Below are 15940 nucleotides of genomic sequence, written 5' to 3'. Positions count from 1 at the left end.
AGAAAGTTAAGTTTAAAAAGTAGGCAGGTAAGGGATTGAATTAGAAGTAAGGTTTCAGTACTTCAGTTGAAAAGGTAAAACATTGATACTAATAGGCTGAGATAAGATACGTGTATATTGTAATATCTAGAGCAACAACAAATAAAACTATTTATGGCAATATAGTCAGGCACATTATAAATGAATCAAAACAGAATTCTAGGTCAGGTGTGGTGGTGCACGCCTGTAATCCCAGCACTTTGGGAGGCCGAGGCAGACAGATCACTTGAGGTCAGGAGTTCAAGTCCAGCCTGGCCAACATGGTTAAACCATGTCTCTAGTAAAAATACAAAAAAATTAGCTGGGCAGGATGGCACATGCCTGTAATCCCAGCTACTCAGGAGGCTGACACAGAAGAATAGGTTGAACCTAGGAGGCAGAGGTTGCACTCCAGCCTGGGTGACAGAGCAAGATTCCCTCTCAAAAAATAAAAAAAAAAGAAAAGAAAAACACAGAATTCTAAAGAAAATGTTCATGTATCCCACAGTAAATAAAAGAGAGAAAAAGTAACAGAGGAACAGGAAACTGAGAGTACCCACAGAAAACAAATACTAAAATGGCAAATTGATGCCTTGACAATTACTTTGTTACTTTGCAACAGTTACTTTAAGTGTAAATGACCTAAATACACCTCAAAAGGCAGATTGGTTGGGAAGAAAAAAAACATGAAACAATGATATGCTATCTATAGGAACTCACTTTAAACATGTAAAATAATGCAAAAAGTCACATCATAAAAAACTTTAATTAAAAGGTGTGATTATATTAATATCCGATAAAAATAGACATTAGAGCAAAGAAAATTAGTAGTATCAAAGAAAGGCAGCTGTTACATAGTGATAAAAGGAACATGGCAATCCTAAATTTGTATGCACCAAAAAACAGAGCTTCCATATACATGAAGAAAACAACAAATAGAAATGAAAGAGAAATAAATCCACTTTTATAGTTGGGAGCTTCAACATCCTGCTTTTTTTTTTTTTTTTTTTTTTTTTTGAGACGGAGTCTCGTTCTGTCGCCCAGGCGGGAGTGCTGTGGCGCGATCTCCGCTCACTGCAAGCTCCGCCTTCCGGGTTCACGCCATTCTCCTGCCTCAGCCTCCCGAGTAGCTGGGACTACAGGCGCCCGCCACCGCGCCCGGGTAATTTTTTGTATTTTTAGTAGAGACGGGGTTTCACCGTGGTCTCGATCTCCTGACCTCGTGATCCACCCGCCTCGGCCTCCCAAAGTGCTGGGATTACAGGCGTGAGCCACCGCGCCCGGCCTCAACATCCTACTTTCATTAATTGATAGAAATATAGTACTTGACCAAAATCAGCAAGATATGGAAAAACAATGCCATCCATCACAAGGAACTATTTGACATTTACAGAAAATTCTACCAACAAAATGAGAATATACATTTTTTAACCACCCATGGAACATTTCCCAGGATAGACCATATCCTCAAACATAAAACAAATCTTAACGAATTTAAAGAATTGAAATCATCCAGAATAGTCCTCTATCAACTGTGGAAGCAAACTGCTGATGAATAACTAAAAGTCAACAGAAACATCTTCAAATGCAAAGAAACTAAACAACACACTTCTAAATAATCCATGGGCCAAAGAGGGAAGCTCAAAGAAGTTAAAAAATACATCAAACTATTTTTGCAGAGTTATGAAAACAAAACCTCTACGTATCAAGTGCATGTAATGCAGCTGTAACAGTGCTGAGAAAGGAACCTATAGTACTAAATGCTGACGTTAGAAAAAGGAAAAGCTTTTACATGAGCAATCTAAGTTCCTTCTCAAAAAATTGCAAAAAGAAGAACAAAATGAATCCAAACATGGAGAAGGAAGGTATTAATGAAGAGCAGAAATTAATGAAATTGAACAGAGAACATCACTGAAACAAAAAGGGTTTCTTTGGGAAAACAATCAATGCAATCAATTAAGCTCTGGCAACACTGACAAAGAGAGAAAAGACACAAATTACCAATATCAGGAATGGAACAAAGAATACCACAATTTTGTAGCCATTAAAAGAATGATAAGTGATTTGTATTAACTTTATCCTCTAAAATTCAAAAACTTAGGAGAAAATGACCAATACTTTACAAACCAGAAACTATCAAAACTCACTCAAAGAGAAACAAATACAGAAATAGTTCTGTAACCATGAAGTAAATTGATTTGTAACTAAAGACCTCCTGAAAAGAAGTATTCATGTCTATATGGTTTCACCAGAGATTTTTACTAAACATATAAAGGTGAATTAATATCCAAATATAGATAGATGATAGATGATAGATAGATAGATAGATAGATAGATAGATAGATAGATAGATAGATAGATGATAGATAGATAGATAGGAAATGCAAAACAAAAACATAGACAAGTGTGTCTCATGAACCTAGACACAAAACTCCTCAATAAAATATTAGCAGATTAAATCCAGCCATGTACACAAAGTATGGTATAATTCATCATATAAAAATGGGACTCTTCCTAGCATTCAAGGCTAGTTCAAGACTTGAAAATCAACATAATCTATCAGAAACCTAAAGAAGAAAAAATAGTATAGCTATATCAAATGACACAGAAAAAGAAAGTATTTGACAAAATTCAATACTTATTCATGATTAAAAACAAAATTCAGCACACTGGAAATAGAAGGGAACTTCTGCAGCCTGATAGAGAAGATCTACAGAAAACCTACAGCGAACATCATACTTACAGGTGGAAGACCAAATGCTTTCCTTCTAAAATCAGGAACAGGCCAATGACATAAATTCTCACCACTGCTACTCAACAGAGTACTGGAAACTTTAGTCAGCATGATATGGCTAGATAAATAAATGGCCTACAGATTGGAGAGAAAGAAATACAACTTAGTTTGCATAAGACATAGTTGTCTATGTACAAAAATTTCAAGAAATTTACAACCAACCTCCTAGAACTAAGAGTGAGTTGGGTACGGTTAGAAGATACAAGTTCAACACAAAAGTACTGATTGCATTTCTATGTACTAATGACAAACATGTGGACACCAAAATTGAAAGTATGATTCTATTTAAAAGCACTCCAAAGAACATTAAGTACTTAAGTATAAAAACCATGGACAGGATCTGTGCCCTAAAAATTACAAAAATAATGCTAATAAAAAAATTAATAAAAGAAGACTTTAATAAATGGCAAGAAATACTGTGTTCCTAGATTGGCAGTTTCCACATTGTAGAGATGTCAATTCTCCCCAAATTAATCTATAAGTGTAATGCAACTCCTATTAAAATCCAAGCAATGTAACTTTTAGATATATGCAAGTTTATTTAAACATTTATATAGAAAGAAAAAGGCCCTAGAATAGTCCAAAGCATTTTGCAAAGGCAGAATGAAGTGAGAGGCGTCAGTCTTCTGATGGTAAGGTGTACTATCTAGCTAAGGTGTACTATCTAGCTGCATTAATCAAGACTGGCCAAAGGATGAACATACAGATCAAGGAAACAGAATAGAGAACCCAGAAATAGACCCATGCAAATATGCCCAACAGATTTTTGGCAAATATAAAAAAGCAATTCAAAGGAGGAAAAATAGCTTTTAAATAAGTTGTATTGGGGCAACTGGATATCTGTAGGCAAAAACATGAACTTTGATTTAAACCTCATATCCAATACAATAGTAACTTGAAATGGACCAGGGGATCAAGAGAAGATATTTAATATTTATGATCTACCTGCTTCCCAGGATCACCTCAACAGTGCAAAGAAATGATGCTAACCCCAGCACGTACATATGTTTCCTTTATAGGTGAACATTGATATTTCTGGGATACACTACAATTTCCCTTTACAAATAATTCCCCTTTTGTCTGTAGCATTCCTCCTCAACTCTCTCCCCTCTGCGCCTTACTGACCCCCACTGATGTGAGGCAGAAAAGCCATCGCCACCCGCACCAGGTTGGGCTGAGACTAACACTCTGGCATCCTTCTTCTCCCTTGGAAACATGTTGGGACTGTCCCTGCTCAGGTGAGATGGTTTCTTCTTCACAAGTATGGCTCTTCCTCTATGCTGATTTTTTCCAAGCTAGGCACTTTGCCTCTTATCTCTTTTCCTCCAGCACCTAGCAGGGTACCTGGCACACAGTAAGTGTTTAATCGCTTTGGCTGCATTGATTTCCACAATCAATTTGAAAAGATTTAAAATGAACCCTCTGTGGTTTGCTTTGATTTGAACGATTTGATTTTGAGGTGAATTAAGATAAAGTCTGAGAATAAGACTGAGTGGAAACAGTGAGATTCCCTGGATCTAACAATTTACAGTCAGCAGTTGTTCAGCAGTAGACTTTTGAATCAGAGAGACCTGAGTTTCGACCTTATCTCCAACACCTAGTAAAGGTGTGACTTTGAAAAATGACTAGTGTTTGCTTAGTCTTGGTAATTTTAATCTTCAAAATATGGGTAATAGCAATAAATACCTGTATTAGTCCATTTTCACGCTGCTGATAAAGATATACCTGAGACTGGGCAACTTACAAAAGAAAGAGCTTTCTTGGACTTACAGTTCCATGTGGCTGGGGAGGTCTCACAATGGTGGTGAAAAGCAAGAGGAGCCAGTCACGTTTTACATGGATGACAGCAGACAAAGAGAGGAGAGCTTGTGCAGGGAAACTCCCATTTTTAAAACTATCAGATCTTGTGAGACTTATTCACTATTGTGAGATCAGCATGGGAAAGGCCTGCCCCCATGATTCAATTACCTCCCACTGGGTTCCTCCCGCAACACATGGGAATTGTGGGAGTTACAATTCAAGATGAGATTTGGGTGGGGACACAGCCAAACCATATCACTACCTCATAGTGCAAAATTAAAAGGACTCAATAATATCATCCATTAATTTGATTATAAATATCACTGTATTATTCCATCGTTTGAAAGATTAAACCTCTCAAATGCTGTGACAATGTAAAATGATGTATTTGGGTCTATGGTGTCCATTTTTATATTTGTATGTGTGGTAATCTTTGAGCATGGAGCTAGTGTTTGTCCAGACCTTCCCAGATATAATTTGTAGACATGTGTCCCATTACTGGGTATATACCCAAAGGATTATAAATCATTCTATAAAAACACATGAACATATATGTTTATTGCAGCACTATTTACAATAGCAAAGACTTGGAACCAACTCAAATGCCCAACAATGATAAACTGGATAAAAAATAAGGGGCACATATACACCATGGAATACTATGCAGCTGTAAGAAAGGATGAGTTCATGTCCTTTGCAGGGACATGGATAAAGCTGGAAACCATCATTCTCAGCAAACTAACACAGGAACAGAAAACCAAATGCCGCATGTTCTCACTCATAAGTGGGAGTTGAACAATGAGAACAAATGCACACAGGAAGGGGAACATCACACACTGGGGCCTGTCTCAGGCTGGGGGGCAAGGGAAAGGAGAGCATCAGGACAAATACCTAATGCATGTGGAGTTTAAAACCTAGGTGATGGGTTGATAGGTGCAGCAAACCACCATGGCACATGTGTACCTTTGTAACAAACCTGCATATTCTGCACATGTATCCATACAGAACTTAAAGTAAAATTTAAAAAAAGCCAAAATCCATTTTTTCCATAAGTGATGATTTGTTGATTATTTAGCACAGATATCTCTGAGAAAGGCTGTATGAAAATTATGGTTCTTTCTTCATTGACTCATGTAATCTATCATTGAGTTCATTGCTGCATATTAGATTGCCTTGTAGCTGATTAGGATAGTGGCTCCTAGTGTATGGTTAACACAAAGTATTTACTACCACCAAAATAACAATCACATTTATTAACATTGTGAGACTAACCACTCTATTAACTACTACTTCTACTTAGCTCTCTACAATTACAGAAACTCATTTGATGCTTTGGATTCAGAAACCCAAGTTTGGTAAAATCTCCTTTCTGTATTCATTTCACTAAACGAAAGCTACAAAACTTTCCTCTCTTTACTTCACTGTCATAGTGAATCCACTTACCAGAACTAACAGCCTGTCTTCAATCTAGAATAGTTCTATTATTAATCATGTCTCAATTATGCACTATTAAGTTAGACTCAAGAAGGGAGAAGAGGTCCCAAGATGAGAAGAGTTCTTCCTGATGAGCAAAAGGTTAGAAACTATGACAGTCTCTATGTACAGACCTCAAGAAATGCCCTAGGCGTTGAGTGCAAGATTTTCCTGTAGGACAAAGGATCTTTCCCTTTCCCCTAGAACAAGCAACTTTCTATGCATTTTGTTTGTAAATTTGTCTCTTAGGCTGACTTTTCAGGGGGTAAAAGGATATATTTATTGGCATTTCTGCTTATCTTAATAAAATGTGTATAATGATAATGACATATCATAAATTGTTGATACTTAAGGTGCTCCATACACACTCAATTTAAATTAAAGCTATTTTATCCCATTCCATGCACAGCAGAATTTCATACTGTCTGAAGGTAAGTAATGCTTATTTGAGCCTAAAGCCCAATATAAATAAATCGAGTGCCCTGTTTACCTGCTTTTTAACCCACTATAATACAAACTTTACAGAATAAGAAATTTCCTGTATCTCAAGGCAGCTATGGGATAACCTTCAGGCTTTTTTCTTTTTTCTTTACAACTACCAACATTACGTGACTGCATTTGGATTATTTAGGTAAAAATTATTCATCTCATTTTCATTAATTCTTATATTTTTACCAATAATACAAAATATTTTTGCTGCATGTTGGGAGGTGCATAGAGGCAAACAACATTAGTTTGCTCCCTGCTCCGAAGCTTTATTTATCGGAGAGGAGGTGTTTCTTTGTTCTCCCAACATTCTGGTATTGATGAGCGAGACACCGCTGGATAATGTCTACAACATGGAAGAGGATAACAAAATGACATCGTTTTGGGGGAAGCCACAATCACAGGTACAAAAAGCTTCTAGCTGTGTTTCAATGAACAAGGAGGCAGAATGGCACCCTCATCCTGCGGTATGACACCCTCACTCTGCGGTATGCCTCTGTGTTTTGTCACAGGGTTACTTGTGGTGAACTCTAACGTTTGACAGTGTGCCTTGGAAAAAGAGGATAGTGAGGCCATTGAATGTGGATGAAGTCCTCCCCCTCATGGTTGATTATAATAATATTCCTTTTAGAAGATTATGCAAATCTTTTTGATCAAAAGTATTTAAATCCCTTTGATGGATTCAGGGAGAATCATAAGTATTTGAAGAGAACATTTTGACATTGAATGGATGTATCGCTTATTTCTGTTATGCCACAAGAGGAGTGAATTACACTGCATAGTAAGATGAGAAAATTCCAAAGATGACCATGAAAGGAAGCACATAACGCATCTCTGGGTGGGTAGGGAACTTGCAGCTGGTCAGGTCTGAGTTTGCACAAGAAAAGAACTTCTCCAACATAAGGAAGATACAGAATGCAGACATCTCAAAGGAAATTTCTTTTTTTTTTTTTTTTTTTTTTTTTTTTTGAGATAGAGTCTCACTCTGTCACCCAGGCTGGAGTGCAGTGGCGCAATCTTTGCTCACCACAACCTCCACCTCCTGGGTTCAAGTGATTCTCCCTCCTCAGCCTCCCTAGTAGCTGGGATTACAGGTGCCCGCCACCACACCCAGCTAATTTTTGTATTTTTAGTAGAGACGAGGTTTCACCATGTTGGCCAGGCTGGTCTCAAACTCCTGACCTCAGGTGATCTACCTGCCTCGGCCTCCCAAAGTACTGGGATTACAGGTGTGAGCCACCATGCTCAGCCTCATCTTATTATTACTTTTTTAAACTTACATCTCTTTTCCTTCTATTTGCAAAGATCAGTATGAAGCTGTAACATGTTTTTGTTTTTCAGTAGGGTCCTTTGTGTCCTACTTATCTGAAATATTGGTGCCATTTCCTGATACCTTTCTCCCTCTGAGCACCTACATTGGTCCCATTGACAGCATATCAACCTTAAGCCTATGACCTCTCAGGCTTTCCTCTGCACCTGGTCAAGTTTGTCAATGGTCCTCTTAACATACACAAGTCAAAGAAGAGCGCGTAACAACCTGGAAAGGCCAGGTACTTTCCTCTAGCTTTGTGTGTCTTTCTCTGCCCAACATCTGCCTGTCCCGAAACTCAGACTTGCTTCTTCCTTCTTCTACTCCAGCTCAAGCAGAAAAACACTTAAAGAGCCCTAGTTCATCACTTTCCAAATTCTAGGACCTCCAGGAAACATGTTTCATTTATAAAATAGGTAGATCCCTGGTCTCATAAGACCCCTTAATCCTTGGTCATTCATAGTATTCACTGGGCTCTGAAAAGCCTACAGTTAAAAAACAAAAACTATTTAGCATTGTCTCAACCAGTATTCACAAAACTTATTTGTGCACATAATATTCTTTTCACATATAGTAAGAATTTTTGTTGCATCCCAATTCCATGACTTTGCAAAAAGTCATGGTTTGTGGTTGATGCAACTCTGCCTGCAGCCTTCTGCTCCCACAGCTGCGCAAACCGAGCTCTCTCTGGGGGGCCTTCGAAGAATATTTTCTAATGACTAGAAGCAGTTCCTCCTCTCAAAGGGTTGTCTTTTTCTTATCTGTTTTATCCCAAATGCACCACCTGTTAGAGAGGCCTTCCCTGTTCCATTTTAATCACTCCCTTTCTCAGATGTATCCTTCAAAGCTTCTATCACAAAGAAATTATGTTGTCTTCCTGTGTCCAAGTGTTCTCATTGTTTAATTCCCACCTATGAGTGAGAACATGAGGTTTTTGGTTTTTTGTCCTTGCGATAGTTTGCTGAGAATGATGGTTTACATGGCACATGTATACATATGTAACAAACCTGCACATTGTGCACATGTACCCTGGAACTTAAAGTATAATTATATATATATGTATATGTATATATATATATATATACATATACATATATATAAAGAAGATCACTTCACTATATATCTTGCATTAAATAAAAACCTTAGTTAAAAAAAAAAGAAATTATGTTGTCAACTGACTGACGTTTTCCATGTAAATGTAGCTCCACGAGGATGGGACCCCACTGAACTCATTTTCTGCTGTGGACTGGGTTGGTGGGGGCTGCACTTGGCTGAGTATTCCCCTGGGTGCCGCTGGGTTCTCATCCATATCACACACTCACAGGTGAGCTGACTGTGTGTGGGTGATAGGGTGGCTGGGCCACCTACCCTCCAGCAGGCCAGGCCAGTCATGCTCAGGTGAGAGCAGAGGCACAAGGAGGGCAAGGCAGAGACCCCCAGGACCCCCTGAAGCCTGAGCAAGGGGATCCCAACAGCTTTCCAGGTTTACAGACAGACCCTGAAGCACAGACACACAGATAATATTATTTTCGCATGAATTGCATTTTGTATCTTGTTATTTTGTTCTGTAGGAGCTAGAGTTGTTTATAAAAATGGGCCCAGTGGGATGTGAGAGAGAGACTTTTAAGCAACTGGCTCACATGATCATAGGGTTGGCAAGTAGGAAATTTACAAGGCAGACTGGCAGGTTGGACATTCTGGAAAGGTTTGATGCTGCAGGCTTGAGTCCAAAGGCTGTGGGAAGCGGAATTCCCTCCTCTCCGGGCAGGTCGGATTCTTTCTTAATGCCTTCAACTGACTGAACGAGGCCCACCCACATTATGGAGCATGATCCATTTTACTCGAAGTCCACTGATTTTAAATGTTAATCACATCTAACAAATACCTTAACAGCAACATCTAGAAAGGTGTTTGAACAAAGGTGGAGCACTAGGATCTAGCCAAGTTGACACAAAATTCACCAAGACAGTATCTGAAGATTTGATACCATGTATTCTCATGTGTTTCTAGATTTAGCCAAATAACCTTCAAGGCCAGCCCAGATTTCACAGAGTGGAAGTAGACTTGGACTTTTTCATGAAATAAAACACAAAATCATATCACATAAGGTGTAAATAAAGAGAGGAATAAAGATTTGAGGCCACTAATAAATCAACACAGACTTCCATGCCATCAAAGCCCCACTATCCATATATACACTAATGTCTGTGTGCAATGCCTGCCATAGCCCAGGGAGTGAACACCCCTCCAAGACCTCTCCCCTCCTGCCCACTGGGAGCACCTTCATTCCTGGGAGCATTACAGGGTATCAGAGGCAAAAAGTACAACAGGGATACCTTGGTAGAACTAATGTTCCAAATTGGTTGTTGAAAACCTGTTGGCAATAAAGAATTTTGCAAGCAGGTTTATAAATCTAAGTGAGAATGTGTTTGTTTCTACCTAAATATACACTTTCCATACATATTTATTATGATATATCACATACATAGTGAAAATTTTGTGATTAATAATATATATATTTGTAAAAATATTAAGTTTTGCTGTAGTTCTTCATAATTTTCACGTTTTTTCAACCAGTAGACATAAATACAACTACTTGTGAAATATTTTGTTTTTTAGTAGTCCTTACATAAAAACAACTGAGTAAGACTGTACTGGGAAGTAGAAAGTGTAATTCCATTTCTTGAAATAATATTAAATAATTTACAAAGGGAAGAAGAAAATAAAAGCGGTGTAAATTTCAGCTCTGCTATGTGTTAATTTAATAGTTTGCAGCCGGATTTTTTTTCTGATCCTCATTTTCCTCATAGGTAAAACGAAAATTAAAATATATAGTGTAAATATTTTGAGCAACAACTAATTGATCAGAGATGCCAGTAAACATTTCCCATTTTTAGTATTTTATATACAGTGTAACATTGCTCTTCTACACAAAATCGAGACAGAATCCTGCCAGTCACTGATGCACTTACTGGAACAAAACAAGTTGCCAGGATCTTAGGGGAGCTTTTTTCTTCTAACTCAAGAGCTTTAGAAGAATTTGTGCATTGGAGATTCTTCACCTGCCGCATCTCAGGTGTCAAGAACCCAGGGTTGTCCTTTGAGTAGGGAGCTAAAAAGGCTGCACGCTCCCTCCCTCTGCAGTCCCTTTGCTGTGCCTGCGGGAAGGTCCTGGCCCCCGTGTTCAGAATCGTCCTCTGCCCTTGCCGGAGCTGCCATTCTCCTTCAATATCTCTTGCTTGCTCAGAATGTCTGAGTGGGAATGGACTACTCTGAGCCTAACATTTCCACCTGCCAAGACATTCAAACGTATTACCAGTCAATTCATTCCTCAATCTTATCCTGCAGCTGTCAGTGACTCAGCCCGTGCAAGAACCACCTGCTACCACATATCCAGACACCTTGTGTCCTGCTTGTACTTTATGCTGACTTAGAAATGGTCCTGCCACATCCTCAGAGAGGGCATCACCGCCTGCAACAGGGGCTCCATGGAATTGCCCAGCTCCACAACCCACCTCGGAGGTCTGCTGGCCAGGCTCACACATCGCTTTAGCCTGCGATTTGCAGAAACCAGAGGCAGACCAAAACCTCCGGAGCTACTTCTTGTTTCAGGGGTGCAATCCTGGGACACATGAGTGAGAAGAAAGAGTTGTGAGGCAAGGGAGGAGGAACTCAATATGGGTGTGCATCCCCCATGCTGGCCTCTGCTGGGTCTGGTTACTGAGTGTTCAGTCTCGCTGGACCTGGTCCTGGTGAGGCTGATGAAAGTGCCTCCTCAGGGCAGTCTGTCTGCAGTAAGAAGAGAAAGGAATTTAACCACCAGCTCCCATCAAAGGTCTTTTGCCTGTACCATTGACTCTCTCACACTTCTGGCTGTGTGTGCATTGGAGTCTCAGGTGTCATGTCATGCCTGTGTCACTGTGAACCCCCACAGCAGGAGGTAAGAGGCTGATCCTGCTGTCTGTGTGCATGGGAAGGGGTCAGAGGCTGCTCCACCTCTCAGGCCGGCACAGGTGAGGCCTTGGGGCCAGGGCAGGTAGCAAGGACCTGAAGTTGCCCAGGTGAAGTGTTGGCGGAGCCTTTGGCAGGTGTGGGTCTCTCATCTCCCACAGCATAAAGCAGGGCTGGCCCTCGGCAGGTGCAGACCTTGTCTTCCTTAGTCAACTGATAAATGGGGGATTACATGAATGATGGAATGAATTGATGAACTCTTAGTTTTAGGATAATTCATCCCTCTTTTATTTTACTCTTATAGACAATCACTGAATGCAGTCACAAAACTTCATTAGGGTTGTCAGAAATGGTGAATGATGCTGGGAGGGCCAGGGAAATGCTTCCTGCCAATCCACTTTTCTCATCAATAGAGTGTATGTGTTGTTTGTTTGTTGGGCACAGGGGAGAAAGGCCACCCTTTGTATTGCAGTGGCTGCTAATCTAATTTTCCAGGCCAAAGGATAGTCCCTGTGATCTAATTCTCAATCTACTACAGGATTGAGATGAAGACCAAATCATCTTAGAGGATCTAATAATCTTGTTTCAATCGATCAGTTTCTTAGGCAGTATCCTTCGGTTGAGACTTTTCAGATAAGTAAAGAAAATTAGGTTAAAAGCAAAATGCTTCTTTCTAAAATGTGTCTTGCACGTTGCCCATTCAGCCCAGGGGCAGCTGGGTGGCCTCTCCTCGGGGCGTTTGGGGCCCACGGAGAGACATTTACTGTACTCGGGCAAAGCCACTGCTCCGTGGCTCAGTGAATAAAACGCTGCGGTTTCTCCCATTGACTGCCTGAAATAAAATAATCTATGATGCATGAACAAGTCTAAATGAAATAATAATATCCTTAGCAGTGAAAAACGGATTGGTAATACAGTAATTGAGCAGATTTATTGCCATCTCCTTGAGCTAGCCTGCTGAAACAGCCGGCTATTTTATTTAATCTCATATCAGAGGAATTACTGGCTGGTAATCCATTGTTAAACATCATTTAGAATGATGGATGAAAATGTCAGCTTTTCCAACATAATCAATTCATATCTCATTAGCACATATTATTTATGATTCTCATAATGGGACCTGCAGGGGTCTCCAGGGGGAGATGGAGACCTCAGCTGTTGTCGAAATGAGATGAGATATACTGTAGCTTATGAGTTAATAACTGCATATAAAAAATACTTCTCCCCGCATTGATTGTTCTCACCATTTTACGAATGAATTGAAGGACTGGGCCTCCCCATCTTGCTGTGTATTGGCTGTGTCTGGCAGCACTTTCTCGTGTGATTTTTAAGGTTAATCATTAGGCTGAAAATATTTTAAAAACCAATAATAGGATTCTGTTTCAGAAGAACGTTCCCATCCTAGGAAAGCGAGCCGTTGGATGCCAGGTGCCCGGGAACACTTGGCCTCTATGTGGCTGCCGGATGAGGACTGGGGAGACTCCTTTCCCTCTCGCTACCTATGAAGATAAATCGACATATTTCTTTAGCTCCAGCCCAGTTGCTTTCTAAGGATACTCTCTCCCGCGTGCTGCCTCCAAGACCAATGAAAAGCAAACCTTGATTCATGGGCTCCACGCTGCTGATGGCGCATCGGTAATCATGGTTACAGTGTCAACCGATGCCTCAATTAAACTACATTTGAGAATCATTTTATGCCTCAGCTCATAAACATCAATAAAGGAAAATGAGTAATAAATGACTGTCTAGAGTACAAAGGACCAGCTCATATTTCAGATGAAAATGAAGACAAAATGTAGCTTTTATTTGCCTGTGGAATTCCCATTAACTGCATCACTGACAAGAGAGAGCTGGATCAATAGCTGGCCGGCCGCAGAAAACCGTTTCTGGCTGTTCAGCAGCCAAGGCAAAAGGAAAACTGTCATATTGCGATCTTTATCAGGCAATCTTCATTACACCAGACCGATGATATACGCACATGCTGGTCAGCTAGGGGTACTTCTAATTCTTGGTTCTGTTTGTGGTTTGAGTGTACAGCGATCACAAATTATTTGTTTACGGCGACGAAAAATCTTCAATGCTCATCCCTTTTATTCTTTTTATAGGTAATCTATATCTGGAAACTTTCTCTCAAGACTACTTTATTCACTCAGGATTTTAAAGAGAGTATTATATCAAACCTTACCTTCCTCCCCACTCTGAGTAAAGAAGAACCTGTCAAGGCTGCTGCGGGCCTTGATGGAGCAATTTGTAAGCTCCTTCTCCAAGTTCTGGAAGGAAGTGCTGCCTTCTTTGTGAGCTGCTGTTCTCCCTTTAATTGAACAGAAAATGCTGCTAGCTGTAAGGAATAGAAATGAATGCTTCATGCGACACGAAAATACAGCAAAACTCGTTTCTTTTGCATTCCGTGTGCCTGCCAAAAATAAAGAAGAAAAAAAGAAGATGCATTCTATTAAGTAGGAGATTGGGTCAGCCATTTCAGGAAGACCCTTTTTACATAAATTCCACGTTAAGGAAGGAGTTCCATGACGTTTATCAAAATCTCTGTTCAGTTAAATCGTATCACAGGAAGTCCTTCACAGAAAGATGAATAGAAGAGGCAGAAAGGTAGTGGGGAAAAGGCAAGACATTTCATAGGAAAGACAAACTGGAAGGTGGGAATAGCATTAGTAATAGTTACAAGCATAGCAATTCTAACATTTCCTGTTATTCACTGAAAACTGTGACCCTGATGGATCTCAATGTACTTCAACAGTGTTATTGTGTCTTTCAGAATTTTTGCAAGGGAAATTGCGCTGGATGGTCAGCCATTTAGATTCTCGCTGGCTTAGATTTCAGGAATTGAACCAGGTGGAGGGTAAGGCCTGTAGACTCACCTGAAGAATGTTTGGATGTCTGATTCATGACTCCTTCTTGAGTTTTCAGCATTAAAATGTGCTTTTTGTACACATATTTTCTTTCTTCTTTTTACTGTCCATGGCCAAATTTCTTCTTACTGAACTAATATGAATTTGACGCTGCTATGAAATTTCTCCTGTAATGTGAAACGTATCCACTTCTGTTGAAAGTGAAACTCTGACTCTTAGGATTATACAGAAGTTATTAGCTAAAAATATAATTTACATACAAAATACAGTAGAGGGTCTTACAACTCTCATATTTACTAGAATATTTGCCAACAAAGAATCTACCAAGGGACCCTAACGATGTTTTACCCTTTTTGTGCCCGGTAGTTATGGCTACCAGCTCTTCTTATTTTTTAGTCAGTGATATAAGAATAGTGGTAGATGTCGTACCTGAAAAAGTGTCACCTCCTGTGCATTCTCAGGGAAGTGTAATTCAAAAGGACCATTTAGTCAAGTTTTAAATGTAATATCTGGAACCTCAAAAGACCCATGAAATGGACTTTGATGGCCTTTCTTGGGATTTTTTTTTTTCAGGAACAGTGACCACTAAATAAATGGAAAGCTGTTTCCTGTAATCAGACTCCCATGACCCACCTACAGTATTAAATATTTCAGAAGCTCAAGAACATTATGTGCAGAACCTCAAATAGTAGGCAGGTGCTGGATTTTAAAGGTTCTCTTGCTGTTTGCCATCCATGCATCCTGTAGTCCTACGTGTGTAAATCTAACCATCACCATGGGGTTCAAATGGGATCTTGAAGAATTACATGGTCTATTTTCACCAGCATTATTTTAGACAAGCGACTGCTAAATTAGTTGAATATTCAACGCACAGAACATTTGATTGTCAAAAGAAGTCAATGAAACAAAAGAAAAAAGTAACTTAGAACTTTTCATGCATTGCTGGTGGAAATGTAAAATGGTGCAGCTACTTTGAAAACGGTTTGGCATCTCTCTAAATATGAAACACTGTGTTCCCATGTCCCCAGCAATTCTACTTCTAGGCATGCACCTGAGAGAAATGAAAGCACACGTCCACACAAAAGCTTGTGCATGAAGGTTTACAACAGCATTACTGACAACAGTCCAAAATGCAAACCATCCAAGTATCCATGACCTGACGGATGTAAACACAGGCTGGCGTATCACACTGTGTAATCCCATCCACGGTGAAAGGGGATGAATGACTGATGTGTGCTGCAA

General features: G+C 39.7%; 3 annotated features.

Moving 5' to 3' along the window:
* Positions 12065 to 14234: an enhancer, noted in NCBI's record as "VISTA enhancer hs1020". NCBI's record gives its function as "enhancer in: neural tube[4/9] | hindbrain (rhombencephalon)[8/9]" and the evidence as "EXISTENCE:transgenic organism evidence [ECO:0001131][PMID:17130149]".
* Positions 12065 to 14373: a biological region, named in NCBI's record as "VISTA enhancer hs1020".
* Positions 13174 to 14373: an enhancer, noted in NCBI's record as "CDK7 strongly-dependent group 2 enhancer chr18:75496199-75497398 (GRCh37/hg19 assembly coordinates)". NCBI's record gives its function as "activates an origin of replication core promoter dependent on BRD2, BRD4, P300/CBP, MED14 and CDK7 cofactors, with strong dependence on CDK7, by STARR-seq in HCT116 cells {active_cell/tissue: HCT116}" and the evidence as "EXISTENCE:reporter gene assay evidence [ECO:0000049][PMID:35650434]".

Source organism: Homo sapiens, chromosome 18, assembly GCF_000001405.40.
Source record: "Homo sapiens chromosome 18, GRCh38.p14 Primary Assembly".
In the NCBI taxonomy this organism is placed as follows: domain Eukaryota; kingdom Metazoa; phylum Chordata; class Mammalia; order Primates; family Hominidae; genus Homo; species Homo sapiens.
The sequence above is the reverse complement of the archived record's forward strand: the minus strand, read 5'-3'. Positions and strand labels throughout refer to the sequence as shown.